The sequence below is a fragment of the Homo sapiens genome, chromosome 4, assembly GCF_000001405.40.
Source record: "Homo sapiens chromosome 4, GRCh38.p14 Primary Assembly".
NCBI classification, from domain to species: domain Eukaryota; kingdom Metazoa; phylum Chordata; class Mammalia; order Primates; family Hominidae; genus Homo; species Homo sapiens.
In genome coordinates this window covers 8248602-8276369 of record NC_000004.12, presented here as the reverse complement: position 1 = coordinate 8276369, position 27768 = coordinate 8248602, and the positions used below count along the sequence as shown (strand labels likewise).

The following is a 27768-nucleotide window of genomic DNA, read 5'->3' as shown; positions in this document are numbered from 1 at the left end:
ACTTCTATGAGCCCGGCACCGTGCAAAGCACACTCAGTCCATCATCTCATTTGCCCAGTGACCAGTGAGGGGGGTCCCACTGTTATCCATTTCACAGATGAAGAAACTGAGGTGCAAAGAGCTTCAGAGACTTCTGGGGCAGAGCTGGGACTCCACCCTGAGCAGCCAGACATGAGGGACAGAACTGGGTCCCAGTCCTGGTGCTCTGCCCATTATGTGCTGGAGCAGGGTAATGCACACAGGTGGGCAGGCTGTACATTGCACAATTCCAGGGAGTCACCTGCTACCCCTGCACTAGACCTGGCTTTCAGCTTGGGGAACATATGGACGTGTCCTCGCCATATCTTTGCTGCACCAAGGACAGCGGTCTATGATTTTAAACCCTGTCCCACCCATTAGTCCACAAACACCCTCATCAAAACCAAACAAGGCAGACACTTCGAGCTGCTAGGGGCCTGCCTGGTATTCAGAGCACTGGCTGGGGAACCAGGGGACCTGGGCTCAGGGCAGAACCATCCATCCCTACCTGAGTGACCGAGGGCAGCTTCCTACAGCTCCCTGAACCCTTTCTCATACAGGACCAGGACATCAATACCCCAATGATGTGTTGAAGGCTTTGTGGGCCTGGAACAGTGCCCAGTGTCACACCGTTCACCCTTGTGAAACCTGGTGGCCTCCCTCCCTCAAAGCAAGCCTGGGCGGAAGGTGTTCAGACCACCTGGCAGGCCCTGGTGAGCCTGTGGGAGGCCAAGGGTGCACAGGCCCCCTTGTACCCACCTCTCCACAACTAGACGCCCCCATCTCCAGAAAGCCCTCCTGATCTAGCCCTCTCTCCACTCTGAAGGTGGTTTCTTCCTCTTCTGGGCTCCATGCATTGTCATTGGTCCCTCACAATGCAGGATGGGGGTTTCACAGGGGTCTGCGGCTGTGGTGATGTGGGCAGGAGGCAGTGGTTGGGGTCACCAAGCCTGCGAGCCTGCCAGGAGGCTATGCTTAGTCCTGAGGCCGTGGGAGCCATGGCCCAGCTTTCGGCAGGGAGGGTCCGGGTCTCGCCAAGTCCCTTCAGGCTGCTGTGTGGGGCTGCATGGGAGGGCAGAGGCCTGTCGGGGGAAGACCACAGGATGGCAGATGGGGTGAGGGTGCATTTGCTAGGCCAAGCCCCGGCAGGAAGGGCAGCTGCACAGCGCCCTGGTCTCAGCTCCAGTCCGGCTGGACTCCTGGCTCCTGGCAGCCTTGGCGAAAGCTCTTGGCCAAGCAGCTCTGCCGGCAGTTCCAAGTCCTCCAGTGCCGCCAGATGCTGTGGCTCAGCACTGCAGCCCCAGCGGGAGTGGGCGGGGCAGGAGGGGAGGCGTCATCTTGCCTGAGTGGTCCCAGATGCTGAACTCCAAGGCATGTGCAGCCCCAGGAAGCTGCTAAGAGGATTACAAATCAAAAGCCAACCCAAGTTCTTCAATAAATACAACCGGGAGATGCCATCAGAACCTGCTTGGGGTTGCACAATAAAAGCCGGTGATTAAATGCCACCTTGTAAACTGCTCTGGGGCTCTACATTCTGAGCGCATGGCAGGCTCCAAGGCCTGTTTATCTGCAGCCAGAGGAGAGGCTGCATGGCCTCAGAGCTCTGGTTACGCGCAAAGGGAAACCCTTCTCCACACAGGCCCTCAGAAACGCATTTATCCCTGCTTTTACCATCCCGTGGATGGACATTTATCCACTCTGTGCAACTGCGATGCCTTAACATGGACCTGAGAAGATGCGAGGGTTCCCCTGAGAAGTGGTGAGCCTCTGTCACTGGAGGGATGCAAGAAGGGCCCAGAGGGTTAGAGGAGATTCACACATCACATGGGCCCTCGTCTCATTTCGTGTCATCTACAGAGGCCACGCACTGGCCCAGGCCCCTGCCCGGCGAGGCTTCGAGCCTGGAGGAGATGGGGATCACGCAGAGAAATTGACCCACAGTCACATCTGTGTGCAGGGCCCACCGGAGACCCTGGGTGTGCTCACCAAGCAATGAAGGATGACCTGGGCACAGTGGCCAGGGCAGGTGGCTCAGGGGCGGTGGGACATCCGGGTGAAGGCAGGATGAGGAACCCACCACGCTAAGGCAAGGGAAGGAAACGCCGGGCAGTGGGCACATTGCGTGCAAAGGCCTCGAGGTGGGAAAGAGACCGGTGAGGCCATGAGGCCAGAGCACAGGGGATGAGGGGACAGTGGGAGACGGCACCGAGGGTGATGCGGGCCAGGTGGCAGGCACAGGGCCCTGTGAGTCAAGGTAAGTGCTGGGGTGCCTTGCAAGGAAGCCTGCAGGTCATGGGCAGGACAGATTGACCAAGGTGATCCTGGCTGCTGTGTGAGAAGTGATGGAAGGGAGGATGGAGGGGGAAGTCAGAGCGCCCCAGGAGATGTTTTGTGGATGAGCTGAGGGGACTCCCGGTGCACAGGAGAATGAGGGGTGGAGGGGAGTGAGAGGCAGAGAGGAATGAGGGGTGGAGAGGAGTAAGGGCCCCCATCCACACAGCTGGGCTGCAATGGGCAGGCCCAGGAAAGGTACCCCCACACCAAGTCCCAAACTGATGAGCCACTGTGACAGTGCAGCAGGCATTGAGGGGAGTGAGGGGAAGAGGGGAATGAGGGGCGGAGGGACGGAGGGGATCGAGGCTCCCCACTGAACATCGTGGTGCTCCTTTCAGTGGGGCTGGGAAGAGTAGAGCCCGAGGCGGCTCAGCAGGCATCTCCACGTGACTCTAACTCAGGAGAGACCCGGGGGCTGGAGATAGGGCCCGAAGTCCCAGCACCTGGGGAGGACTTCATGGCAGATGAGCTTACTGGGGCGGGGGTGCGGGGGGGAGGGTGGCGAGAAGGGACCAAGGAGACCTTCCTGCCTAGAGGGTGGGAGAAGGCGGAGGAGCTGACATGGGGAGGGGAGAGGAGAGCACAAGGAACCTCAGCCCACAGGAGGCTGCCCTCATCAGGCAGGACTTCCTCCCAGAAATGCCCGGCAGCGCCTGGCACACCACTAAGTGTGACCGGCACCCAGCAACTTCTGGCTGGGACCTCGGGAGGGCAGAAGCCGGCTACGCTGCTGGAATACTCCATGGAGGCTGAGCCTGATGGAGCCGGGGGCCCAGGCCTGACCCGACTCCCAGCCTCAGGGGCCCTGCCACCCCTTGCAGAGGAAAAGCCAGGAGGCCCACAGAGCATAGCCTGCAAAGCCAGCCAGACCCAGGCCAGGCCCAGCCGGGTCACTTCCTGACCATGTGACCTCAGAGCAGTCCCTCACCCTTCCTGGCCTCCAGCAGCACATCTGTGGTGCCTGGGAAAGGACCAGGCTTGCCGTGGGAAATGAGACAGGGCTGGGGAGAGGCCGGGCACCCAAGGCCTCCACAGGGAGTGGACTCTGCGTGTCGCCCTGCCGAAAGCTGGCTGTCCAAGGTCCCCGTGCACCGGGCTACAGTGGCAGGGCTGCACACCGCCCACAGTGTGAACGGCGCCCTGGAGATGGCCAGCAGCCTCCCACCTGCACTCTCTGCCTCCCCTCCCCACCAGGCCCCATTTCCCCACCTGGCTCCGTGGGCTCTGGTGGCGACAGGGCTCTCGGGTCCTGTGCAGGTCTCTGCCTTGCCCATGCCCTCTCTGTCCTCCCCATCCTTCCCCAGGCAGTTCCCAGTCCTCCTCCACAGCTTGGCACAGAAGCGCCTCCTCTGGAGAGCCTCTCCTGACCTTGCTGGGTGAGACAGATTTGGGTCGGTCGCCACAGTGATAACAACATATGAAACAACGTGGTCTGGGGGTTGCCCATCAGGCAAGGGGCGTGTGCCTTCGTGTCTGGCAGCAGCTCTCCTGCAGGTCCCCGCTTCTCATTTGAGGAAACTCACGGTGAGCAAGTGGTCTAAGGTCACCTCATCGGGAAGAGGTGCGCTGGGACTGCAGACCCCGGAGCACTGAGGCCTCAGCCCATGACCCCCCACGCTCACGGCCACCTCCTGGCCTTCTGAGCTCCCCATGCACCTGTCTCTGGGGATAAGACTATTTTCCTCCTCCCTTCTGTCCCCTCGATGGTCTGTGAGGCTTGAGGGCACCAACAGGGTCTGCTACATGGCTGTGCCCTGTCACCAGCCTGGGGCCAGCCAGGCACACAGAGAAAGTGCCTCATGACGCGAACTCCAGAAGTCAGTGAGTGTCTCAGAACACCCAGGCTGCCTCCAGCTCCCTGCCAGCCCTGAGCCCTGCAGCCCTATTCTCATAGTGCCTTCCACGGTGGGGAGCGGGGTGGGGAGGTGGCCCCCATGCACACAGCTGGGCTGCAACGGGCAGGCCCAGGAAAGGTACCCCAGCACCAAGCCCCAAACTGATGTGCCACTGTGACAGTGCAGCAGGCGTTGAGTCAATGACAACGTCTCCAAGACCCCGCAGCCCCACACTCGCACCCCTCAGCCTCCTGGGCAGTCTCAACACAAGCCGGACCTCATCACCCTCACCCCCATGATGGTTTGAACATGTTCCCTCCAAAACAGAGGTGTTGCCAATGTGATGGTATGAAAAGGTGGGGTGTTAGGAGGTGATGAGGTCACAAGGGTTCCTCCTTTCGAGCGTGGGCAGAAGCTCCTTATGAGAGAGGCTACAGGCAGCGTTCGGCCTTGTCCCTGCCTGCACTTCTGCCGTGTGAAGACGCAGCTTCCTCCCTTCCGCAGAGTGCAGCCCTCACCAGACAACCAAGCCTGCTGGCACCTTGGTCTTGAACTTTCCAGCCTCCAGAGCTGCGAGAAATACATCTCTGTCCTGTATAAACTGCCCAGTCTCAGGCGTTGTACCAGCACAAGGTGGACTGGGACTCCCCGCCAAACCCTGCGGTGGCTCTTCCACATAATCCTAGCTAATCTCGAATGATGCTTCCCACACGGGGCTCCCAGGAACCCCAGCGTGCTGGGAGGAGGTCACGTGTTCTGCCAGAAAAGAAGAGCTCTCTGTTGAAATTCTCTGGGGAAGCCCTGGGTTTCATCAATTGAGGACACTGCAGGTTTTCTCAGAACCTCTGATAGATTGAGCCTGTGAGTCTCCACTACAGGAATAGAGCGCTCAGTTCCCCAACCTTTTTACACCATGAAAACACTTGGAATTGTGTTCAGCGGACCGCAGAAAAAATGAGGAAGCCCTCTGCAGGCTTCCCAGGAGCCCCGGCAGTTGGTGCTCCCCATGGTGCTCCTGAGGCTCCACGGAGCCTGTTCTGGCAGCTACTGCATCTCTCCCTGCCACCTGCAAGCTGATGGCACGCAGGACCCTGACTCCTATCCATGAACCTGGGGCCCGTCGCCTGTCTTCAGTGAACCCCTGTCCGGCCACAGCAGAGTCTGCTTTCCTAAGAGGCACCCCAAACAGGGAAAAAGGTACAGCAGGTTTTCCAGCATTTTCCTCCACGTACAGAGTCAACCTGCACGGTGAGATGCAACCTAGAGCCGACTGCCTCAAGGGAGGCTGTTCTAGGGTCTGACCCCGACATTCTCTCCCCCAAGCAGCCTCTCCCTGGGGCGCCCTAAGCAGTTCAGGGACCTGCACCCTGACCCTTCCCACACAGTCCTGTGGAGACATGCACTTAACCACAGTCTCCAGGAAAGAAGGCATCACCCAAGAGGGCACCCCGGCTGGAGAGTTAGGGCAGGAAAGAGTGCCCTTCACTCAATACCCGGACAGAGCAGGGGTCCAAGGATCAAGGGAATGGGCACGAGACATCAGTTCTGAAGAGACCAGAGCTGGAAACAGTCCTAGATGAGGCCCCTCGGGTGGCCAGGAGACCACCGGGTTTCCCTTTTGACTCTAATTCTGTGACCTTGGGGACAGCGGTTTACCTTTCCGGGCCTCAGTTTCTTCATCTGAAAGACCAGAGGGCTGGTGGGATGATTTCTGAAGGGCCACCCGGTGGTGCCCAGGGAAGGGCGACCTCGAGCTCGGCCCTAACTCCCGGCCTTAGTTTCCCCAAGAGAAAGAAGCTTCACTTCCTCCCTGGCCCCCGAGCGCTTACCCAACGGGCAGGCGCCCTTCTGCAGCTGGCGCACGGGCGTCCCGGAGAGCTGCAGCGCGCGGCGGCTGGCCGCCTGCAGCGCGCACACGTTGGCATAGGTGTGCCCGTCGGTGCCACACACGGCGTGCGACCAGCGGCAGCGGCATAGGCCGCGCACGCACTCCAGGCTCTCGCCGCAAGGCGAGTCCAGAGGGCCGCCACAGGGCTCGCCCTCGCTGGCGGCGCACACCAGGCAGCAGTTGCAGAGGTCGGGCACGTAGCCGCCGGGGCAGCGGGGGCTGGGACACCGCGACACGTCGCAGCGCGCGGGACACGGCGCCGCAGGGGGCTCCCGGGCCAGCGCCAGCGCGGCCAACGCGGCCAGGAGCAGCGCTCGCGCCTGCATGGCGGCAGGGCCGGCGGCGGGTGGCAGCGCGGGAGACCGGGCGGGGGCCGGCGGGGACAACGAGGCCGCTGCGGGGCCGGGCGCCGGGCGCCTACGGATGGGACTGGGGCGGACGCGCGGTCACATGCGCCGGTGGCTCAGGCTGGCGGGCGTCAGGGCGGCAGGGGCATCCCCAGGGCGCAGGGAGCGCAGGGACCAGCTCCCTCCAGCCTGACGGTCCGCGGGCGGCGGGTCCCGCGCCTTTAAAGGCGACCGCCCAGCCCGCCCTCGCTGGAAGGGGCGGCCCGGCCCCTCCGCCAGCCCCGCCCAGGCCCCGACAGGGCCCCGCCTGGCCTTCCGGGCCTGGACCCACCCGGCAGGCCTTGGGACTCTGGTCGGCCTGGTCGAGAAAACCCGAGGCTACAGACACGCAGGGGTCCTTTCTGGTGGGGACCCCCGGGCCCAGCCTATCCCAGAAACGTTGGGGGATGCGTTCTCCCCGCTCTGGAGGGGTCTGTCCGTGTCCAGTCTCCTCTGTGCCTCAGTTTCCTCCTCCAGGAAAGGGGAATTGACAGCATTTCTCAACCTCATAGGGTCGTTGGAAGAACCACAGAGGCCATGGCTGAGCAGTGTTCCCGAGTCCTCGCTGTCCACGGAACCGGAAGCTGTTTCCATTCTCATCATTGCTCCTGCATTTTCTGCAGGGCCCCTTCAGACCCAGGTCCCATCACGAGAGTCAGAATCTGGTGACAGTGCGTCAGCTGATGGGGTGAAGGCTGCGGAGTTGTGAGAGAAGGCAGAACCCCCCTTGGAGGTGAATGTCAAGCCTGAAGAGGAAGGATGGGAAGCGGGAGCTGGCCGTGACCTGGGCAGAGGCTCCCAAGCAAAAGCAGGTCGGGGCAGCAGGAGATAACGCCGCGCGCACAGCCTGGAGCTGCGGTCTTCACACTGTGTGTGTTCCTAGTACCCTGGGCTGCCTGGCGAAGCCTGGGTGTCCTTTTCAGAACGATGTCGTCAAGTAGATTTAAACGCATAAAACAAAGACCATGGGGTCACAAAGGGGAACAATTCTATCAAAACACAGTTATCAAAATACATGAAACAATTCATGACAGCGTGGCCTATGGGCTTCTTTATCAGCATGTTAATGGCAGGTTCTGGTCGGTCTGTCGTCTGATACCAGTGGACACTTCGCAGCAGCCCTGTGCAGAGGGCTGCCACTGGAGACACCTTCGGTGAGGGCGGTAACATGGGGATGTAAACACTGCTTCTGCTGGCCGTGGAGCCACAGGCCCTGCTGGCTGGGGTCAACTGCACCCCCAAAGGAATGAATGCTGGACTTCAGTTGGAGTTGTTGGGGTAAATAAAGACGTTTTTCCATCCAGGTTCACAGATACCCAAGTTAAGAATGGGGAGGGGTACCTCTGGTCCAGAGGAGGGAGGGGGAGCTGGAGGTTAAAGGGCCTCGGGGAATGGGAAGGTGGAGGGGCCTGATCCCTGAGGGCCCTGGGTCCTCAAAGGCCTGGGGAGGCGTTGAGTAGGGAGCGGCCCCATCAGACAAGATGTCTGGGGAGGATGAGGTGGGAGGAGGCGGGGCGCCAAGTGTGAGCCCCCATAGGACCCAGAGAGAGTGAAAGGTTGAAGGGTCCCAGGGGACGGGGAGAGAAGGGACCTGGAGCTTCTCCCCCTAAAAGGCCCTTTGACAAGGGGCAATAGCACCTGCGTTTCTGCCTCTACAAACCTCAAGTGCACTTTACTTTGAAGATGTGGAGAATTTCAGGCCATTTTTTGGAATGACCCAGAATGCTAGGAGTTGGGGACCTCAGGGCTGGGCTGAACCTCCCTCAACCTTGGCCAGGGCTCCCGGTTCATGTCTCTGCAGGGTGGGCTTGCCTAAGGCGCAAGGAGAATTTTTCACGTGCCCAGGATGCCTGCCCCTCGAGTAAGCCTTGGTGGGCTACTGTGGCCCAGAGCTGGCTTTTTGGGGGGCCTGTGTTTTCCTGCAGACACCTGGCCCTGAAGATCAACACTTTTCCATCCCTGGATCCTTCAGTGCGCAGAAAACTAAGTCCCTGGGAAGGGCCCAAGAGCTCATTTCCCCTAAGCTTTTCCTCTACAATGGGGAAACTGAGTCTCTGAGAGAGTCCAGGACCGGCGCTGCAGCAGGTCAGAGTTTGCACAGCCTGCCACAGCTTCCAAGGAACCACAGCTACCGATGTGTAGGCCCTGAGGCTGCTGGAGCGCTCTGCATACACTTGACTCAGTCTTCACGAAGCGCCTGAGAGGTGGGCGTTAGGATCCTTAGAACAGGGCTGGGGGAGTGCAAGGCCAGAGATTCTGGCAGGTGGGCCTCAGATCTTGGCCTGTCCTTAGGTCAAGTCCTTGCTCCTCCCTGGAGACCATGCTGCCCCCAACGGTCACCATCTTGACCACCTTGCAGTGGGGATTTAGTCCTCTTGTACAGAGAGGGAAACTGAGGCCCGGAGTGAAAAGACCCTTCTCTGCTCTGCAGCTGGGATGCAGTTCCCTGGGGTGGCCTTTGCTCTTCCCTGAAATGGGCAGGCAGGGCTCACAGTGGCTGCCTTGAGCTTGGCAGGAGCCCAGCGCTGTCCTCAGGAGAGCCGCGCCCCCTGCTGCTCCCGCCCTGCACTGCCTCTCACTCAGTAAACTTTGGGGCCTCCCATCCCCAACCCTGAACACCTGACTTAGGGGCCAGGAGTAGGAGAGGATTCCCCAAGGGCCTGGGATCCACCCGGGAGGTTCCTCTAAGTCTCTGGCTTCCCAGCACAGGACCGCCTCTGTCGTCAGCCCAGAGCTCCAGATACAGGCTCCGCCAGGCCAACGTGTGCAGGCGCAGGGCCGGCCCTCTGGCCCGTGTTATCTCAGCTCGTTCTTCAACAATGCCAGGAAGCTTGTTTAATTTACGTACACCCCTCCTTCGCTCATTTCTACTTACTCCCGCTTGTCACCCTGCCCGAAATATTGATAGTTCTTTACAAACAAGCATAAGATGAGACGTTGCTTATCCTCAGTGGAATGGAATTCACTCCCTCCAGGCTGGGCCTGGGTCTGCCTCTCTCCAGGGTACTCTTGTCCCATGCCAGGACCCCATGGCCCCATCCCATCCCTCCATCTCCGCCCAGAGCTGGACAGCAGTGCGCATCCTGGGCCTGCAGAGGAGCCCTCCAAGCTGTGGGCAGGCTCGGCCCTTTGGCTTGACCCCTGCCCAAGTCCAGGCTTCGTCTCAGATGAGGTCATCACTTACACCACTCCAGGGACCTTGAAGACCATCATCAGCTGTGATAAGACGCGGTGGCTGTGTGAGTGGGTGACTCAGAGGGTGGGCTCTGCTCAGGCTGATGGGTGGGGGGTGGGCGTAGGTTGTGATATGGGCCACCCTTTCTGCACCTCCCAACACTGACATCAGCTCTGCCGTCCTTGGGTGCTTCTGTAAGCTCTGGGAACAACCCCTCAAGGGGGAATGCCAGTTACAGCCATTTTATAGGTACAGAAAGCCGAGCTAGGGGAGTTTACACGACTTGCCGAAGGCCCCTCAGCCTTTAGGTGATGGACCCAGGCTTAGGAAAAGTCGGATCTGACCCCAAAGTGTATGTTCTTCCTCCAGAGCCACACTGCTGTTCCATACCCATTTTATGGAAGGAAAAACTGAGGCCCACAAAGGGAAAGTGGGTGGCTGAGACAACCAGGCTAACTGATACTAGTAGGTCGCATTGATTGAGCTTCTGTGATGTACTGTGTACTAGGGACTGTGCAGGTGTCTAGCCCTTACCACACCCTCTGAAGGAGGTCTTACTATTGCCATGCCCATTGCACAGATAAAGAAAGCAAGGCACAGAGAGGCTCAACAGCTCATCGCTGTGTCCAAGATCACACAGTGAGTGAGCTGCAGCATTGGATTGGAACCTAGGCAGAGGGACTCATCTTGTACAGAAGCGAAGTGGAGGCTCACAGGAGGAAGGCTGGGAGGAGGGGGAAGGAGCGGGGAGATGGCTTCGAGGGCATGGAACCCACCCTGGCTGATGAAATGAAACGATGAATCAGGGTCACGCAGCTGGGCAAGGGTCTCCTTTTTCTTTTTCACATGGCGCTCCTCCTTTGGCTTTCTGGAGCCCGAACCCCTCTTGGAAATCACCCTGACTCCACCCAGCCCTGCCAGGAGGGGCTGAATGTGAACACCCTGGACCACAGCGGCCTCTGCCTCCTGGGAGGGGATGTCCTGTCCAGGGAGGGGGCTCTCCCAAGACTGCCAGCCCCACCTGCCCGCAGACGGTGCTGCTGTCCTGGAGGCCGCTCGGCCTCTGTCCACCTTCTGAGGGGCCACTGGCCAGGGGTCGTCTGAGGCCTCCATCCTCCAGTGGGAGCTGGGGTGAGGTAATGGCCTAAATTGTGGTTCTGGCCACCTGGGTGTCAGGAATAGGGAAGCTGTCGGGGGTGAGTAGGGGGGACACTGCTCTGTGGGGTAAGGCTGGGATGCTTGAGCTGCCTCTGTAGGGTCCCAGGGGCCTGGGGGACTGAAGAGGGCCGGGAAGGTGGGGCTTCCGCCCTGAGGGGCAAGGAGGCCTCTGGTGACCCTCGGGCTCCTGCGGGGAAACAGCTGCTCCTCAGGTGCCTCCTCCACAGTGCGAGTGCTGAGCCCGTTCCCACTGCTCCCTGACCAGGTGTGGTTGAATCCTGTGACCATTCCCATGTCCTAGGGAAGAACGCAGAGGCTCCGAGAGGTGAAGTGACACCCCACCCCTCATCCCTAAATGCCACCACCTCTAAGATACGCTCGGGCAAAATGCCTCAACAGCTCACACCCATGCACAGCCGTCTCTATCTGAAACACACACAAACCTCCACCCGCTGTCGTCTCTTCCCTGACCCAACCTGACCCCCTCCCTCCCAAGTCCTGGGAGTCAGCCCCACCCTCGTCCTAGAGACTCCACGGGTGGGGACAGCAGTGCATCCGGCCTCCCTGTTCCCAGGACCCCCACTGCAGGGACTTCCTCCTCCATCCCTCCCGGGCCCCAACTCCCACACCCAGCTCCAGCATCACCTGAAACTGCTCCACCTTCCCAGACCCTGATTTCCAGCACACCTCATCCCACGCTACCTGGCCATGTGGGCCTCCATTTCCAGCCCACCCCGTCCCATGCTACCTGGCCACGTGGGCCTCCATTCTGCTGAGCAAATGGGCAACAGGGGCTGTTCTACCTGCTGGGGCGAACCCTCCTCCTTCCCGAGGAGAAAGCGGCTGGGGCTGCGGACGTGCAGTGGGGCAGGGTGTACCCCGTCAGGAAACTGGGATTTCCTGTGGAGCCTCTCCCTATTCACACCTCCAGCAAGAAAAAGTCTTAAATAAAATATATAAAAATAATACATAATATATACTATCTTAATATAAAATATATTATTGTATATAATGTATAGATAATTTGTGTAACATATATATGCAACCGCTTTTTTGTGAGATAATTCACGAACTATACAATTCATGCTTGTAAAGTGTGAGATTCAGCAGTGTTTGGTACATCCACACATGTGCCCCCATCACTGGCATCAATTTTAAAACATTCCCACCACCCCAGAAAGAAACCCCATCCCCAGGAGTAGCCAATCCTCGACCCCGCCGCCTCCTGCTGCTATGGGCCCTGGTGTCCCCGCCATCCTACTCCTGCCTGACTCGGGCAGCGTTCCCTGTTCCGTGCTGGGCCAGCCTGGCCCCGCATCCCTCCTCCAAGATGCACCTCCTTCCACGTGTTCTGAGCTTTTATTTGAGATAATTATAGAGTCGTAGACACATGAGAGTGACAAAGAATGCCATGCACCTTCCCCAGGGTCCCCAGACGCTCACGTCCTATGACATCCGCTTTACCGCTCTGGCTCTGGCTCTGTCCCTCCACCTCTCTCTGTCTCCTTCCATCCCTCAATCACTCCCTGTCTCTCCGTGTCTCTCTGTCTCTGTCTCTGTGTCTTTATGTCTCTCTATGTGTCTGTCTGCATGTCTTTGTTTCTCGCTGTGTCTCTGTCTTTCTGTCTCTGTCTCTGTATGTCTCTGTCTCTCTGTATCCCTCTGTATCTCTATGTCTCTATGTCTCTCTGTGTGTCTTTCTCTGTCTCTGTGTCTCTCTCTGTCTCTGTCCTCTCTGTGTCTCTATATCTCTCTGCGTCTCTATATCTCTCTGCGTGTCTCTGTTCTTTCTGTGTCTCTGTTCTCTCTGTGTCTCTGTGTCTCTGTGTGTCTCTCTGTGTGTCTCTGTGTCTCTCTGTGTCTCTGTTCTCTCTCTGTCTCTGTGTCTCTGTGTCTCTCTCTGTGTCTCTGTTCTCTCTGTGTCTCTGTGCATCTCTCTCTGTGTCTCTACATCTCTGCATGTGTGTGTCGCTCCATCTCTCACGTGTCTGTCTGTCTCCCACGTGCGCACACACTTTTTCCCAGGCTGTGTCAGGGTGCAGTGCAGACACCGGTGCCCTCCAGCCGTGAACTGCTCAGCGCCCTCCTGAGCACCACACACCGCTCCACACCTGCACCACAAAGGTCAAAGTCAGGCTCACGTCTGCATCTGGGGGACCCCGACCTAAGCCAAGGCCTGAGGAGAGAGGTCAGACAGGTCAGGCTGGGAGCCTGGCACAGGAGGGATGGAGGTGACATTTGGAATTGGGAAATCCCCTCACCTTCCTGCAACCTCTGCCGTCACTGAGATGCCCTGGCTAGCGATGCTGCAATCCAGGCTCACTCGGCAGAACTGAGCGGCCACCTTGCTGGGAACCCAGCCCAGGGCCCTGAGAGAGCCTCTACCCTGGGAGGCCACCACCCCACAGGCCTCGCGCTGCAGACTGCAGTCCATGTCCTCCAGCCATGGCTGAGAGCGGGGGCTCTGCCTGCCCCTTCCCCACAGCTGCACCTTCCCGGCAGTGCCTGTCCTGTGGGCTGCATGAGGCCTGACGAGCAGCCTGGGTCAGCAGGGGCTGGTGGGAGTCAGTGCAGGGACGGAGCCGAGGGTCTGGGAGGCGGGATCACCTGCTCAGGGTCACAGCGGGATGGCAGAAGGGCGGGGCTGACCCTGGGGCCCTGGACTCCTGCCGGAGTGCCCGTAACCCTGGGCCCTGTTGCCCTGGACTGGATGCAGGTTTGGCTGGAATTCTCTTCCCAGGCCCAGCTGTGGGTGCTGCTGGTGGCATTGACCATGCCACCCGCCAGCACTTGCATGTCCTAAACGTCCCACTGCTGGGAATAGGCGTGGCAGGGACAGGCCAGGACAGAGGGAAGGCCTCGAATCGCTCTTTCTGGCCAAGTGTGGGGCAGCAGCGGGTGGTGAAAGCGGGGGTGGGTGGGCTAGAGTGGGGTCAGGCCCAGGGTGCAGGCCCTGGCAAAGGTTTGGATGTGACACCAAGTGTGGCAGGGGTGCTGGGGGCTGCATGGGTGGAGAGGCAAGGACGGGGTGGGGAGCAGCTGGGGTCGAGAGAGGAGGTGGCCCCGCCAGGGTTGTGTCCGCAGAGGGCACTTTTGTGGCATCTGGATGTGCAGAGACATTGTCCCCTTAATCTTCAATATCTCCGTATGGATATGTACGATGACAAACCCTTCAAGAGGTGACACTCAGCGGCTGTGGAGGAGCCCCTGGGCAGGCCCGGAGGGTGGACAAGAGTGTGTTCCTGCTTCCTGCAGGGCTGCGGTATGCTCCCTCCAGCTGTGGCAAGGACCCCTATAATTTTCCTGCAGTTGGCAGGAAGCTCCAGCCATGCAGCCGCGGTGGATTCCCTGCCCCCAAAGGGGCCCCCCTGCTTCACCCCTGCCCCATCTGTGGGTCTCTGGGTCAGCACAGACCTTGTGGTATCTTTGTGCAGGCTGAGCACTTCCACTCCTGCTACAGCCACTGGTGGTCAGTGACGTCACCCCCGAGGCGTCCGCTTCCCGGCACCCCTGCCCGCAGGCCTGGCCCTGGCGGTGGAGTAGAGGGCTCTGGAGCCTCCCCCCTCCATCTGCTGTGGCTCACCGGTTCCCCAGGCTCCTGCAGCGACATGCCGGCCTTCTCCAGCCTGCAGGCCTTCGCCCTGCAGTGCCCTTTCCACTTCCGTGGATTCTTCCTCCTGTCAATATCCAGGTTAGGCGTCGCTGCCCCCAGGCCGGGGAGGCCCTGGTTCTGGACGAACACTGCCCCTGGGCTTCCCCTACGAGGCATGCGGCCTGGACTAAAGCTGGTGACATTGTCAGTGAAGGCTAAATCCATATTTTCTTTGAGCTCTGCTGGCAGGAGTCTTGGTTCCCATGGCAGGAGTGCTTCCAACAGGGGCCACAGAAATGGCCCCATCAATCAGAAGACGAACCTGCCACCTGGCCAGTTGGGCCCCTCGTTCTGCTGAACAAATGGGCCCAGAGGGTGATTCCACAGGCTGGGGCGATGGCTCCTGATTCCCTGGGTAGAAATCGGGGGGGGGGGCAGTTGCTACTGCACAGTGAAGCAGGGAGGGCCACGTCTGGGAACCGGGGATTTCCTGCCGTGCCTCTTTGTACTCACATGTTCGGTGAGAAAAGTTAATGAAAATGTAGCACAAATTCAAAGAAAGGTGGGACCCCAGAAACTCAGACCCTTCAGAAATAGGTGCTCGGCTGTGTCCATGAGCAGTGCGTTTCGCCACAGCGATTGGAGGGATAGTCCACGGAATGACTGGAAGGATGGCGTCCACGCACTTGGCCCCTCAGGCCTCGGTCTGGGTGGAGTGAGGGTCCCTCAACGTGCACCTGCCTTGTATCCCTGTCAGGAAGTAGCAGCGGCTCAGATGCAGGCACCATGAGAGAAGCCACGTGGACGCATGGACAATCCTGAGAGCATCTTCAGGAGCAAGCCCCCACCTCACCCCATCCGGGCTTCTCTGACCCCAGGCTGGGTGCCTTACAGAATGGGGAGTGGGGGAGGTGGCCAGAGAGAGAGAGAGATTCCAGAGCCACCGAGAGCTGAGTGTCCCTGTGCACCCAGGCCCAGCAGCTCCCGGAATCTACCCCGAGGAAATGTAATCAAGGCTGCTCGCAAGTGCTCAGCGGCAGGAAGCTCCCCCGGCAGGTTTACAAGGCCGGAGAACTGGAACCACTTCAGCGCCTGGTGGGGATGTTTGAGGAAGCTCTGTCGACTGTCTCTCCCTTTCTGCCTCTGGCTCATTCTCAAGTTGGGAAAAATAACGATTACTTTTATGCAACTGTTTATTATTAGTAGCATTATTAGTCATCGTCTATCGTAACAAAAAGTGCACATTCTCATGCCAGGCACAGTGGCTCATGCCTGTAATTCCAGCACTTTGAGAGGCCGAGGCAGGTGGATCACTTGAGTCCAAGAGTTCGAGACCAGCCTGGGCAACATAGCGAGACCCTGTCTCTACTAAGAATACAAAAAGTTAGCCTGGTGTAGTGGCCATGCCCCTGTGGTCCTAGCTACTCTGGAGCCTGGAGGTCAAAGCTTCAGTGAGCCAAGATCACACCACTAAACTCCAGCCTGGGTGACAGAGTGAGACCCTGTCTAAAAAAAATAAACAACAAAAATATACATTCTCATTGTGGGTAATTTAAAAAGTAGCAGAGTATGCAAACATTTCAAAAGTCACCCGCTGTAGTAGGTGGGTTGCTGGCCCTGAGAAAGATACATCCATATCCCAGCCCCCAGGCGTTTTGCAAACACCATTTGACCATGTTTGCAAAAAGTGTCTTTGCAGATGTGATCAAGTTGAGATCATCCCGGATTAGCCAGAAGGCCCTGAGTTTACTGATGATCGTCCTTATGAGAGACACACGGAGGAGGAGCAGGAGAGGGAAGGAGGGCTCCGTGAAGACAGAGGTAGGGACTGGAGTGACATGGCCACAAGCCAAGGAACACCTAGAGCCACCAGGAACGGCAGAGGCAGGAGGATCCTCCCCCGGAGGCTTTGGGGGGCACACAGCCCTGCCCACACCTTGATTTAGGATTTCTGGCCTCCAGAGAACTGTGGGGGGGCACATTTCTGTTGCTTTAACCCACCACGTGTGGTCATTTGTCATGGCAGCCACCAAAAACCGCCCCAGGAAACTGCACCTGAATCTCCAGTCAGCATGGGGCCTTGTGACCTCCAGGCTGCTCTCCTGTGGACTTGAGTCTTGGGCTGTGTTTGTGTGTGTGTGGGCAAGTGTGTGTGTGAGTGTGCGTTACATAGTTAAGATCACACTAACAGACCTTGCAGTATCTTCCTTTTAAAAATCATAATTTCATGAGAGTGTTCTTTTTGTTAAATAATTTTTACAGGATATCCTTCTGATTTATTTTATAAAATGTGGAAGATACAGGCATATACATGCAAGGAATAAAAATTATATTTGGCCAGGAGCAGTGCCTCACGCCTGTAATCCCAGCACTTTGGGAGGCTGAGGTGGGTGGATCATGAGTTTGGGGGTTCAAGACCAGCCTGGCCAAGATTGTGAAACCCCGTCTCTACGAAAAATACAAAAATTATCTGGGCGTGGTGGTGGGCACCTGTAATCCCCACTACTCGAGAGGCTGAGGCAGAGAATTGCTTGAATCCAGGAGGCAGAGATTGCAGTGAGCTGAAATCGAGCCACTGCACTCTAGCCTGGGTGACAGAGTGAGACTCCGTCTCAAAAAAAAATTATATTTAATTATGCCAGTCAAAAATAATCATCATTTTTGTGTTTTTCTTCTAGATTTGCATACTGATCAAAACCCTCTTGGGAAATGTAAAATGGTACATCCACTGTGGAAAATGCTTTGGCAGTTTCTTAACAATCCAAAACACACACATGCGACCCAGCTCTTGGCTCCTGGGCGATTGTCCCAGGGAAATGAAGACACAGGTACACAAACACCTGTACAGAGCTGTTCACTGCAGCTTTATTTGTAACAGCCAGAAACTGTCAACAACCAGACATACTAGATGAGTTATTACACCGTCACAGACCACACTGTCCACCGTGGCCACAGCTCGGCTATAAAAAGGAGCAAACGGCTGATGGCCCAGCAAGGGGGCTGCACTGCAAACACATTACACTGAGGGGAAAAGCCAATCTCAGAACGTCACCTACTGCGTGACTCCATGTATATGATCTTGAATTGACAAACCCATAAGGATGAAGTTCAGATTTACAGTTGCTGTGGTGGGTGGGGAGGTGGGTCTGGCCACCACAGGGCAGCCGAGGGAGGGCTTTGTGGCGGCCACACTGCTGTGTCTTGACGGTGGTGGTGCTTACAGGAATCCATGCACGTGATAAAATGACACAGAACTAAGGACACGCATTGTACCCACATCAATTTCCTGGCTTCCATACTGTATTATAGTCACATAAGATCACTAGGGGAAGCTGGGGGAAGGGTGCATGAGACCTCTCTTCCTATCTTTGCAAAGTCTTGTAAATCTATAATTATTTCAAAAGAAAAATAAAAAGCACCTTCTGCCTGAAAGATGGAAACCACTCTGGGTATTTAAGACAGGTGATTAATTTAGGGTATTGGTCACACAGGTGATGGAGGGACAGAAAAGCCACTCAGAGGACACTGAGGCACAGAGCAGGGGGCTGTTACCCCACCAGGACTGGAGCAGCAGAGGCAGGAGGTGGGAATGCTGGAGCCCTGGGCTGGGGTTCCTTGGCTGGAGCTCAGGTCACAAAGGGAGTGTGTATTAGTCTGTTTTCACTCCTGATAAAGACATACCCGAGGCTGGGCAATTTACAAAGAAAGAGGTTTATTTGGACTTACAGTTCCATGTGGCTGGGGAACCCTCACAATCATGGCATAAGGCAAGGAAAAGCAAGTCACATCTTACATGGATGCCGGCAAGCAAAAAGAGCTAGTGCAGGAACCCTCCTCCCACTTACAATAACCATCAGATCTCATGAGACTCACTATCACGAGAACAGCATGAAAAAGACCTACCCCCATGATTCAATTACCTCCCACCAGGTCCCTCCCACAACACGTGGGAATTCAAGATGAGACTTGGGTGGGGACACAGCCAACCTATATCAGAGTGTATGTAGGAGTGCATGTGTGTGCACATACACAACGGGAGAAACATCCTGGCTTCTCCCCTCCTCTCACCTGGGGACCTCCCATCAGCTGAGCCCAGCAGAAAGCTGGTTGGAAAGGGAGCCTGGGAAATATTTTCTTCCCAAGACACAGAACAGACTGGGGAAGGGTAGAGAAAGGGGTAGAAAACCCAAAGGCAAATGAACAGCAGGATATGTGCATGAGGCACACTTATTTTTGTCACCGTGCTCACGCTATAGTGGAATGTTCTACTTATTTGACTTATTATTTGTTTTGAGATGGAGTTTCGTTTTGGTTGCCCAGGCTGGAGTGCAATGGCACGATCTTGGCTCACTGCAATCTCCGCCTCCCAGGTTCAAGCAATTCTCCTGCCTCAGCTTCCTGACTTGTCAGGATGACAGGCATGCACCACCACGCCCTGCTTTTTGTATTTTTAGTAGACACGGGATTTCACCATGTTGGTCAGGCTGGTTCCGAACTCCTGACCTCAAATTATCCGCCCGCCTTGGCCTCCCAAAGTGCTGGGATTACAGGTGTGAGCCACCGCGCGTGGCCATTGACTTATAAATAAAAGGTGAATTCTCCTTTTATTAAACTTCTTTTGGCCAGGCGTGGTGGCTCACGCCTGTAATCCCAGCACTTTGGGAGGCCGAGGCAGGCAGATCACTTGAGGTCAGGAGTTCAAGACCAGCCTGACCAACATGGTGAAACCCCATGCCTACTAAAAATACAAAAATTAGCCAAGCATGGTGGCACATGCCTATACTCCCAGCTACTTGGGAGGCTGAGGCAGGAGAATCGCTTGAACCTGAGAGGCGGAGGTTGCAGTGAGCTGAGCTTGTGTCACTGCACAACAGTGCACGACGGAGTAAAAATCTGTCTCAAAAAAACAAAAAACAAACAAACAAAAAAACTTCTTTGGAACACATGCTTTGAACAGGTCCACACCAGCCAATGGGTGTGGGCTTATGTTCTGTTCAGTCAGCCCCATCACTGAGTGCTGGGATTACTAACCCTGTGATGAACTGTCTTGGGCGTAAACCGTTGAGGGCCTCTGCAGGGACTTCGTTAAGACGTAGATAAGAATAAGGTGAGGATAAGAGTCTTCACAGGCCCATGAATATCAACTCTTTTAAGACTCTTGGGGGCCAGGCAAGGTGGCTCACACCTGTAATCCCAGCATTTTGGGAGGCCGAGGTGGGCGGATCACGAGGTCAGGAGATTGAGACCATCCTGGCTAACACGGTGAAACCCCATCTCTACTAAAAAAATACAAAAAATTAGCCAGGCGTGGTGGCGGGCGCCTGTAGTCCCAGCTACTCAGGAGGCTGAGGCAGGAGAATGGCATGAACCCGGGAGGTGGAGCTTGCAGTGAGCTGAGATCGCTCCACTGCACTCCAGCCTGGGCGACAGAGTGAGACTCTGTCTCAAAAAAAAAAAAAAAGACTCTGGGCCAGCTTGCTTTCTGGGAAGGTTTTACCAGGTTTCTTCTTTCTCCAGGAGGAGGGCCTCTCTTAATGTATCTTTGACGTCATTGAACACTATCTTTAAAAGGCATTAGATGTTTTAAAAGGTTTAGAAAGCCACCTCTCTGTAACTGGTTCATGGTGCTGGATGAGTCTCCTGTGAGTGACACAGACAGAAGCCAAGGGGAGGGGTCGGGGACAGAGAGCCAAGAATGCCAGAGATGCTTGTGTCAGCGTGGCTCCTGCCCACTCTTGGATGATGCCTGGGGTCTGGCCAGCAGCTGCTCATACTGAAACCCTCCCATTTGGCAGCCTGCTTGATCGAACCCTCCCTGCAGCCCACACTGCTGTCACACCCTACAAGTCATTGTCCCAGAAGGCCTCACCCTCTAGCTGGCTCTGTCTGGAACTCCCCCTCCCTGCACCGTCACCCGTTTGCTCTTTCCTCACTGGCTCTGTGATTTAACACGTATTCCCCAAGCACTCTGAGTCCTGGGGATGCCTGAGCAGCACTCAGGGAGCAGGGGGAGGACAGGGAGGCAGGACATGCTGAGGTGTCGCACCCCAGGTGGACCCCTGCACTGCACCCCGCTGTGAAGCCTCACTTGCTCCCAGGTGGGATTCCCCGCCTCCCTTCTCTGTGGCCCCGTGCCCCGTGCCAGTCTGCCTCTTGGCTAGAATAGCAGCAGTGTCCACCTCCGCTCCACAGTATGGGATGCATCATTTATCTCTGTTCCTCTCAGCCTACTCCTGACCCAGCACCAGCAGGGACTTAAAAAACAGGGGCCCTATGAACAGACCGATGAACGGTGCTGTGATCTCTTACTGGCGTGGCACATGCTGGGATGCCCTGTTTAGAGCCCACCTGCTTCTGGTGCACTTGGAAACATGCCCATCCCTCTTTGTGTATTGCATTGTACAGAAGAGAAACCAGGCTGGGCACAGTGGCTCATGCCTGTAATCCCAGCACTTTGAGAGGCCGAGGTGGGCGGATCACCTGAGGTCAGGAGTTTGAGACCAGCCAACATGGTGAAACCCTGTCTCTGCTAAAAATACAAAAATTAGCCGGCATGGTGGCGCGCGCCTGTAGTCCCAGCTACTCAGGAGGCTGAGGCTGGAGAACCGCTTGAACATAGGAGGCAGAGTTTGCAATGAGCCAAGACTGCGCCATTGCACTTCAGCCTGGGCAACAGAGCAAGACTCCGTCTCAGAAAAAAACAAAATAAGAAACCAGAGGGTCAGAGAGGAAAGTGACTTGCCTCTGGTCACACAGCCAGCACATGGCTCTATCAACCCAGAGTTGAGAGAGCATCTTCCCTGGCCCCACCAGCTATAGGGGGCTGTGCAGGAAGGCCCTGGACTGGATTTCTCCTCACAATTTATGACTTCAGAAGACCTGACTTGGGGCATATAATCATGGAAAGACAGAATTCATGTGCCAAGATCTTCATTGTAGTCGGGTGCTGTGGCTTATGTGTACAATGCCAGCATTTTGTGAGGCTGAGACAGGAGGATCACTTGAGGCCAGGAGTTCAAGACCAGCCTGGGCAACATAGTGAGACCCCGTCTCTGCAAAAAATAAACAAAATTAGCAAGCATGGTGACATGCATCTATAGTCCCAGCTACTTAGGAGGCTGAGGTGGGAGGATTGCTTGAGCCTGGGAGTTTGAGGCTTCCATGAACTGTGATCATGCCACTGCACTCTAGCCTCACCGGCCCATCCACGAATCAGGACAGGGCGCTCACCAGCCCGTCCATGAATCAGGACGCAGCCCTCACCAGCCTCACCAGCCCATCCATGAATCAGGACGCAGCCCTCACCAGCCTATCCACGAATCAGGACACGGCCCTCTCCAGCCCATCCACGAATCAGGACGTGGCCCTCTCCAGCCCATCCACGAATCAGAACACGGCCCTCACCTGCCCATCCACGAATCAGGACGCGGCCCTCTCCAGCCCATCCACGAATCAGGACGCGGCTCTCACCAGCCCATCCATGAATCAGGACGTGGCCGTCTCCAGCCCATCCACAAATCAGGATGCAGCCCTCACCAGACACTGAAACTACTTCTCCTTGAACTTGCACTTTCCAGCCTCCAGAACGGGGAGGAAGAACTGTCTGCTGTTTGTAAGCCACCCAGGCCGCAGTATTCTGTGATAGCAGCAGGAATGAATGGATTGAGCCAGTGGCATTGGCACAGTGGAATGCTGTGGGGTTTTACTAGAAACAGAAAGAAGAGGGACGGGCCTGGACACGCAGACCTGCCAAGACGCTCACATACTGGTAAGAGGAAAACGGAGGTTCTCAATGCAGCCAGAGCCTCTCTCCCCCTCTCTCACACACACAAAACACAGGCACACACATGCCCACAAAACACAACAACACACACACACAACACACACACACAACCTTACTTCCTCAATTCCAAGTTACTGTTGATGACAAGAGAGTCACCTATTTGAAAATAACTTTTCGGCTGGGCGCTGTGGCTCACACCTGTAATTCCAGCACTTTGGGAGGCCGAGGCGGGCGGATCACGAGGTCAGGAGATCGAGACCATCCTGGCTAACATGGTGAAACCCCGTCTCTACTAAAAAATACAAAAAATTAGCCGGGCGTGGTGGCGGGCGCCTGTAGTCCCAGCTACTCGGGAGGCTGAGGCAGGAGAATGGCGTGAACCCAGGAGGCGGAGCTTGCAGTGAGCTGAGATCGCTCCACTGCACTCCAGCCTGGGCGACAGAGAGAGACTCAGTCTCAAAAAAAAAGAAAAAAAAAGAAAATAACTTATCCAGAAATGAAACTATTACCCACAAAAAACAAGATCCTCTCCCTCGCTGACAATGCCCATCTGTTCAGCTGTGTATCATTCATTCATCAGCATCTCAGCCACAGAGTTCGACCAGCAATTTTTACTTTCAATAGCTGAAGCTTCTTCTGAACCTCAGCTAATTTGCAAACTCAGAGGGTCTTGATCTTCCCAAGCCCCAGCCTGCAACCTCAGCCCAGACACCCAGGCACCAGGGCCCTGTCTGTTTGGACTCCGGAGAGGCCAAACAGTGTCTGACCTCCTTTCTCCCTGAGGGCTTGGGACCTTTGCACGGTAACAAGTGGACAGGGACCCTCCGGGGGTCATTCTGTCCACTTGCTCTGAACAAGGAAACCTGCTCTGGAGGTGGATAGAAGTGAGCCCCTCAAACCTCCAGGAGCACCCCATGCCCAGTGCTGTCACCAGGACCCCAACAGAGACGAGGCAGCTCCTCTTAGTCATGCACGCCTCCACATGGAGATGGTCAAAGCAGGAAGGGAGGGAGGGAAAAGGGAAGGATAGAAGGAGAGAAGAGAGGCAGGGAAAGGGGAAAGAAGGAGGGAAGGAGAGGCAGAAAGAAGGAAGGAGAGAGGAAGGCAGGGAGGGAGAGGAAGGAACCCCTCTGTGATGTTCGCGATCCCACATTACAGGTGGGGAAACTGAGGACAGACAGTCTCCCAGGGATAAGAGCATAGGAGAGCCAGCCGCGGAGCACAGAGCTGCCTGCCACAGAGGGGCATATTCTTTCACTAAGCGACACCCGCCACCCTTCCCCCACTCCCCATCAAAATGCTAGATAAGAAAACCACAGGGACGTAGGGTCATGCAGCAGACGCAAGCAGTGGCTTAGGAAATGCACTGTAAATCCATGCTGATTCCGGCCATGGTGAAACACGGCAGCTGGGGGTGCTGGGGTGGCTGTGGGGAGGCTGGAGGTGGCCCTGAATCGTCCTTCCCTGGGAAACGGGGTAAACATGCTTCCAGTTCATCTGGGTCCATGTCTCCATTCCCGGCCACTGCCTGGGGCTGATGACCTCCATGACCTCATTGCCCCATCAAGAGGCAGGTACCCCTTGACATTTGGACCTGACCACCCTGGCCACGCACAGCCCTCCCCAGCCTCAGGAGTGGCGTCACCCCCCTCCCGCAGACCAGCTCCCTCAGGCCAACCCTCCCCTGTTCTGCCTCCCACCGCTCTGCATCCTGCGGCCTCCTGCTTCTCGAATCCACCAGGGCTTCAAGCCCCTCTCTTGGCTCATCTGGAGCGCATCCCTGGTGGTCAGCCAGAAAATGGCCCCCTAGGACTTCGTGCCGGGAACCTGGAACCAGCACCTGTGATCTCATAGGGATACGGGGATTCAGCCCAGGGACTTGGGATGGAGGGATGATCCCGGACTATCTGAGTAGGCCCTAAACGCCACCACAAGTGTCCTTAGGAGACAGAGGCAGAGGGAGGTTGGAACAGACACGCAGAGCAGAAGGCCTTGTAAAGACACTGCAGAGAGGGGAGCGCTGTGGGTCGCCAGCAGCCTGGGAGGGGCAGGAAGGGTCCTCTCCCCACCTTCCGAGGGCATGGCCCTGCCGATGATGCCTTGATTTGGACCCCTGGCCTCCAGAACCGTGAGAGGAGGCACGTCTGCTGCTTCAAGCCACTAAACTGGGGTAACTTGTTATGGCGGTGACTGGAAACTGAGACAGGCCTCCTGGAGTGCGGAGCTAGACTTTCGGCCAGACCAACAGGTAAAGAACGCCTGCCCTTTCATTTTGGCCCCAAATTGCAATGCCATTTTTATTCCCCCGAGCTGTGCACCAAGGGTCCTCACGCAACAGAGAAATAAAGGGTTAGTGAGACACACGGCGCGTCAAGATGGACACAGGTGATGAGGGGAGATTGGTGGCGTGGAGCAACCTGGCTGGCACCGCCCTGTCTCCTGCTGCAGCCTCCCAGCGACGGCTGATGCCCCTGCCTGCTGACCCCCAGGGTTACCATGGGAACGCCACCACAGGTGCTGTGGGGAAGCTGGAGGCTGCAGGGATGTCCAGGCTCTGCCCTTCCCCTCTTTGGGCCTCAGCTGCGAGAAGGGGCTGTGACCATGCGATCTCTGTAATGCACCTTGTCCCTAAAATGGCAGCGGCCCCAACTGCCCACCAAGAAGCGCAGGCCATTGTTCAGAACGGGTGTTCGAGAATATTCATTTGTCAAACATGCAGTTAACAAAAGCAGCCTGGCCACGATTTCTGCAGCAGGAAATTCAAAAGAGCCGGTGGGTCCATCCCCGGTGGAAAATGCTCACGACAATCACTCATTGCAAAAGGTCCAGTCAGGAAAGGGGCTGCAGGGACTTCTGAGAAAGAGCAAAGAACATTCCGTTCAGTGCAGAAGCCTCCAGAGATTCCCTTCATGGGATATCTTCCCGCACACTCAGAACCCTTTCCCAACCACATGGGACACACCTGCCACTGGACCTCGGAGGCCGAGGCCTCCTTCCAAACCCCAGCCCCAGGCAAAGCTTTCTGCCTCCCTTTCAGGTCCCTCTCAGGGGATTTCAATACTCGTGGAACCTGCCTTCCTTCAGGAGTTCTTACACCCGCGCCTGGGCTTGTTTATTCCCTCAACAAACGCCTGCTAGGCGCGGACCCTGTGCTGGTGGGCAGGTGATGGTGAGCGAGACCCACTCCAGGCTCCGGGACCTCATGGAGTGGAGGAGCTGGGTAAACAGGTGGGTGGCAATTCAGTGCAATGAACACTACTCGGGAGTGTAGAGAGCCAGGTGGGGGAATTGCCAGGGGATGGTGCAGGCAGAAAAGGCTTATAAGGGGGTCATTCACATGGGGTCCTGAAGGGTGGGTAGGAGCCCACCAGGCCAAGGGTAGAGTGCAGCCCATGCACGGGGGTGGATAGATTACTGCCCATGCACGCCGGTCTCTCCTGTCCAGGCTTTTTCCATTAAAAAGATAACAACAACAGCTGGATGTGCTGCGAAACAGCCATGGTCCCAGCTACTCAGGAGGCTGAGGCATGAGGACCACTTGAGCTCAGGAGTTCAAGACAAACCTGGACAACATAGTGAGACCCTGTCTCAGAAACAAAAAAAAAGAAAAAAAAAAAGCTAACAGTAACAGCACTGTGTATTGAGGGCTTGTTCTTTACAAACACACCCTCACATGACCCTCACAGGAACCTCTGACATCAGCATCACTGTCCCCATTTTGCAGAGGAGGAAGCCAGGACTCCAAGGGGCTGACTTCCCACAGCAATGAGCTCTGAGCAGTGGAGCCAGGGTGCCTCCCAGCCCTGTGGCCATAGGCCTGTCCCTCGTTCCCCATGTGTAGGGGAGATTGGCCAACGATGAGCACTGAGGGTGCAGGGACAGCTCTATGAGGGCTGCCCCAACTCTCCCTATGCCTTTTCAATGATTAGACAAATCCTTCCCGTGCTGTGACAGCTGCCTGTGGTGTTCAGTACAGTCACACGCCATGCAGGCGTGCAGCCTGGGAGCAAGAGGCTTTGCCCTCTGCCCAGTGTACAGTGGCCAGACCATCTAGGTGTGTATAAGCACTCCAGGATGTTCACACAAACATGCGTTAACATCGCGTTTCTCAGAATGTATCCCATCATTAATACGTCTGTAACTGTACGTGTGTATGCGTGTACTTGCTTATACATGATGTTTGCAGATGTTATACATAAAATGTCATATCTGACACATTAGATCCTATATTACACACATGCATGCGTGTACTTTGTTACACATGACGTTTGCAGATGTTATACATACATAAAATGTCATAAGAAATCTATTAGATTCTGTATTACACACGTGCACATGATAAACTCTATATATTCCACGTAGCGCACCATGCACACATGTGGTGAGTGTCAATTTTGTGCCAGCTTGACTGGGCTGGTAAAGTATTTCTGGGGGGGTGTGTGTGAGAGCGCTTCTAGAAGAGTTTAGCATTTGAATCCATAGTATTAAAGAAGGCTGCCCTCATCAGCACCAGGGTAGGCAGCGTCATCCCATTCCTTGAGGGTCCAGATGGGCCAAAAAGGTAAGGGGAGGGCAAATCCTCTCCCTGTCTGCTGTAGAGCTGGGACATCCGTCTTCCCCTGCCCTTGAGCATCAGCTCCCCTCGTTCTCAGACTGTCAGACCTGAAATCACACCACCAGCTCTCCTGGTCTCCAGCTTCATAGGCAGCATCTCATAGGACTTCTCTGCCTCCACAGTCACTTGAGTTCCCGTAATCAATCTCCGTATGTGTGTGTGTATCTATGTGTATGAACATATATGCATATGATGTATAAGTGTACATATTTACCTGTGTGTCTGTGTGTGTGTGTGTGTGTATGTGTGTGTGTGTGTGTGTATATATATATATATATATATATATATATATATATCCTATTGGCCCCATTTCCCTGGAGAGCCCTGACTAAAACCTGTGCTGCAAGTATCTTCTCCGAGCTCGGGGCCTGTCTTTTCTGTGTCCATGGTGTCTTTTCTGTGTCCATGGTGTGTTTTCCGTGTCCATGATGTCTTTTCTGTGTCCATGGTGTCTTTTCCACACAGTGGTTTGTAATTTTAATATAGCCAAACTTAGTCATCTTTTCCTTTTATGTTCTAGGTGCCTTGTTTGAGAAATTCTTTCCCACTGTGGCTCATGACGATATCTTTTTTTTTTTTTTTTTTTTTTTTTTTGAGACAGAGTTGTGCTCTGTTGCCCAGATGGAGTGCAGTGGCGCAATCTTGGCTCACTGCAAGCTCTGCCTCCCGGGTTCAAGCGATTGTCCTGCCTCAGCCTCCCGAGTAGCTGGGACTACAGGCGTGTGCCACCCTGCCCAGCTAATTTTTGTATTTTTAGTAGAGACGGGGTTGCACCATGTTGGCCAGGCTGGTCTCAAACTCCTGACCTCAGGTGATCTGCCTGCCTTGGCATCCCAAAGTGCTGGGATTACAGGCGTGAGCCACCACGGCTGGCCAATAGCCTCATTTTTTAAAGAAGTTAACATCATTTTTGCTTTCCACCTTTGGGTTTGTTATGTGGCAGGAATGGGTTTTTGAGGAGGACGTGAGAGGCTGATCAGATGG

The 27768-nt window shown here is 56.0% G+C and overlaps 1 protein-coding gene and 1 long non-coding RNA gene across 5 annotated transcripts in view, besides 4 other annotated features; one reads left to right on the top strand and one right to left on the bottom strand.

The window, feature by feature from the left end:
- Positions 1 to 6616, bottom strand: part of HTRA3 (HtrA serine peptidase 3) — a 37345-nt gene extending 30729 nt beyond the window's left edge. For all 3 annotated transcript variants that reach the window (NM_053044.5, NM_001297559.3, XM_011513596.4), the window contains exon 1: positions 6017 to 6616. In NM_053044.5, coding sequence (NP_444272.1) covers positions 6017 to 6401 — 385 coding nt within the window. In that variant the 5' untranslated portion in view covers positions 6402 to 6616. The remainder of the gene's footprint in view (positions 1 to 6016) is intronic.
- On the top strand, positions 6189 to 7764 carry LOC105374373 (uncharacterized). Of its 2 annotated transcripts, none has more exons than XR_001741572.2 (2): positions 6189 to 6263; positions 6974 to 7764. It is a non-coding gene; the product is annotated as an uncharacterized LOC105374373 (long non-coding RNA). The 2 variants fall into 2 exon arrangements; XR_925108.3 differs by lacking the exon at positions 6189 to 6263 and adding an exon at positions 6760 to 6826.
- Positions 8931 to 9080: a silencer, noted in NCBI's record as "silent region_15262". NCBI's record gives its function as "represses an Ori minimal core promoter by ATAC-STARR-seq in GM12878 lymphoblastoid cells {active_cell/tissue: GM12878}" and the evidence as "EXISTENCE:reporter gene assay evidence [ECO:0000049][PMID:35858748]".
- Positions 16351 to 16852: an enhancer, noted in NCBI's record as "H3K4me1 hESC enhancer chr4:8261245-8261746 (GRCh37/hg19 assembly coordinates)". NCBI's record gives its function as "activates a minimal SCP1, AML or CMV promoter by ChIP-STARR-seq in naive H9 embryonic stem cells {active_cell/tissue: H9 hESC(naive)}" and the evidence as "EXISTENCE:reporter gene assay evidence [ECO:0000049][PMID:30033119]".
- Positions 23132 to 23637: an enhancer, noted in NCBI's record as "H3K4me1 hESC enhancer chr4:8254460-8254965 (GRCh37/hg19 assembly coordinates)". NCBI's record gives its function as "activates a minimal SCP1, AML or CMV promoter by ChIP-STARR-seq in naive H9 embryonic stem cells {active_cell/tissue: H9 hESC(naive)}" and the evidence as "EXISTENCE:reporter gene assay evidence [ECO:0000049][PMID:30033119]".
- Positions 23638 to 24144: an enhancer, noted in NCBI's record as "H3K4me1 hESC enhancer chr4:8253953-8254459 (GRCh37/hg19 assembly coordinates)". NCBI's record gives its function as "activates a minimal SCP1, AML or CMV promoter by ChIP-STARR-seq in naive H9 embryonic stem cells {active_cell/tissue: H9 hESC(naive)}" and the evidence as "EXISTENCE:reporter gene assay evidence [ECO:0000049][PMID:30033119]".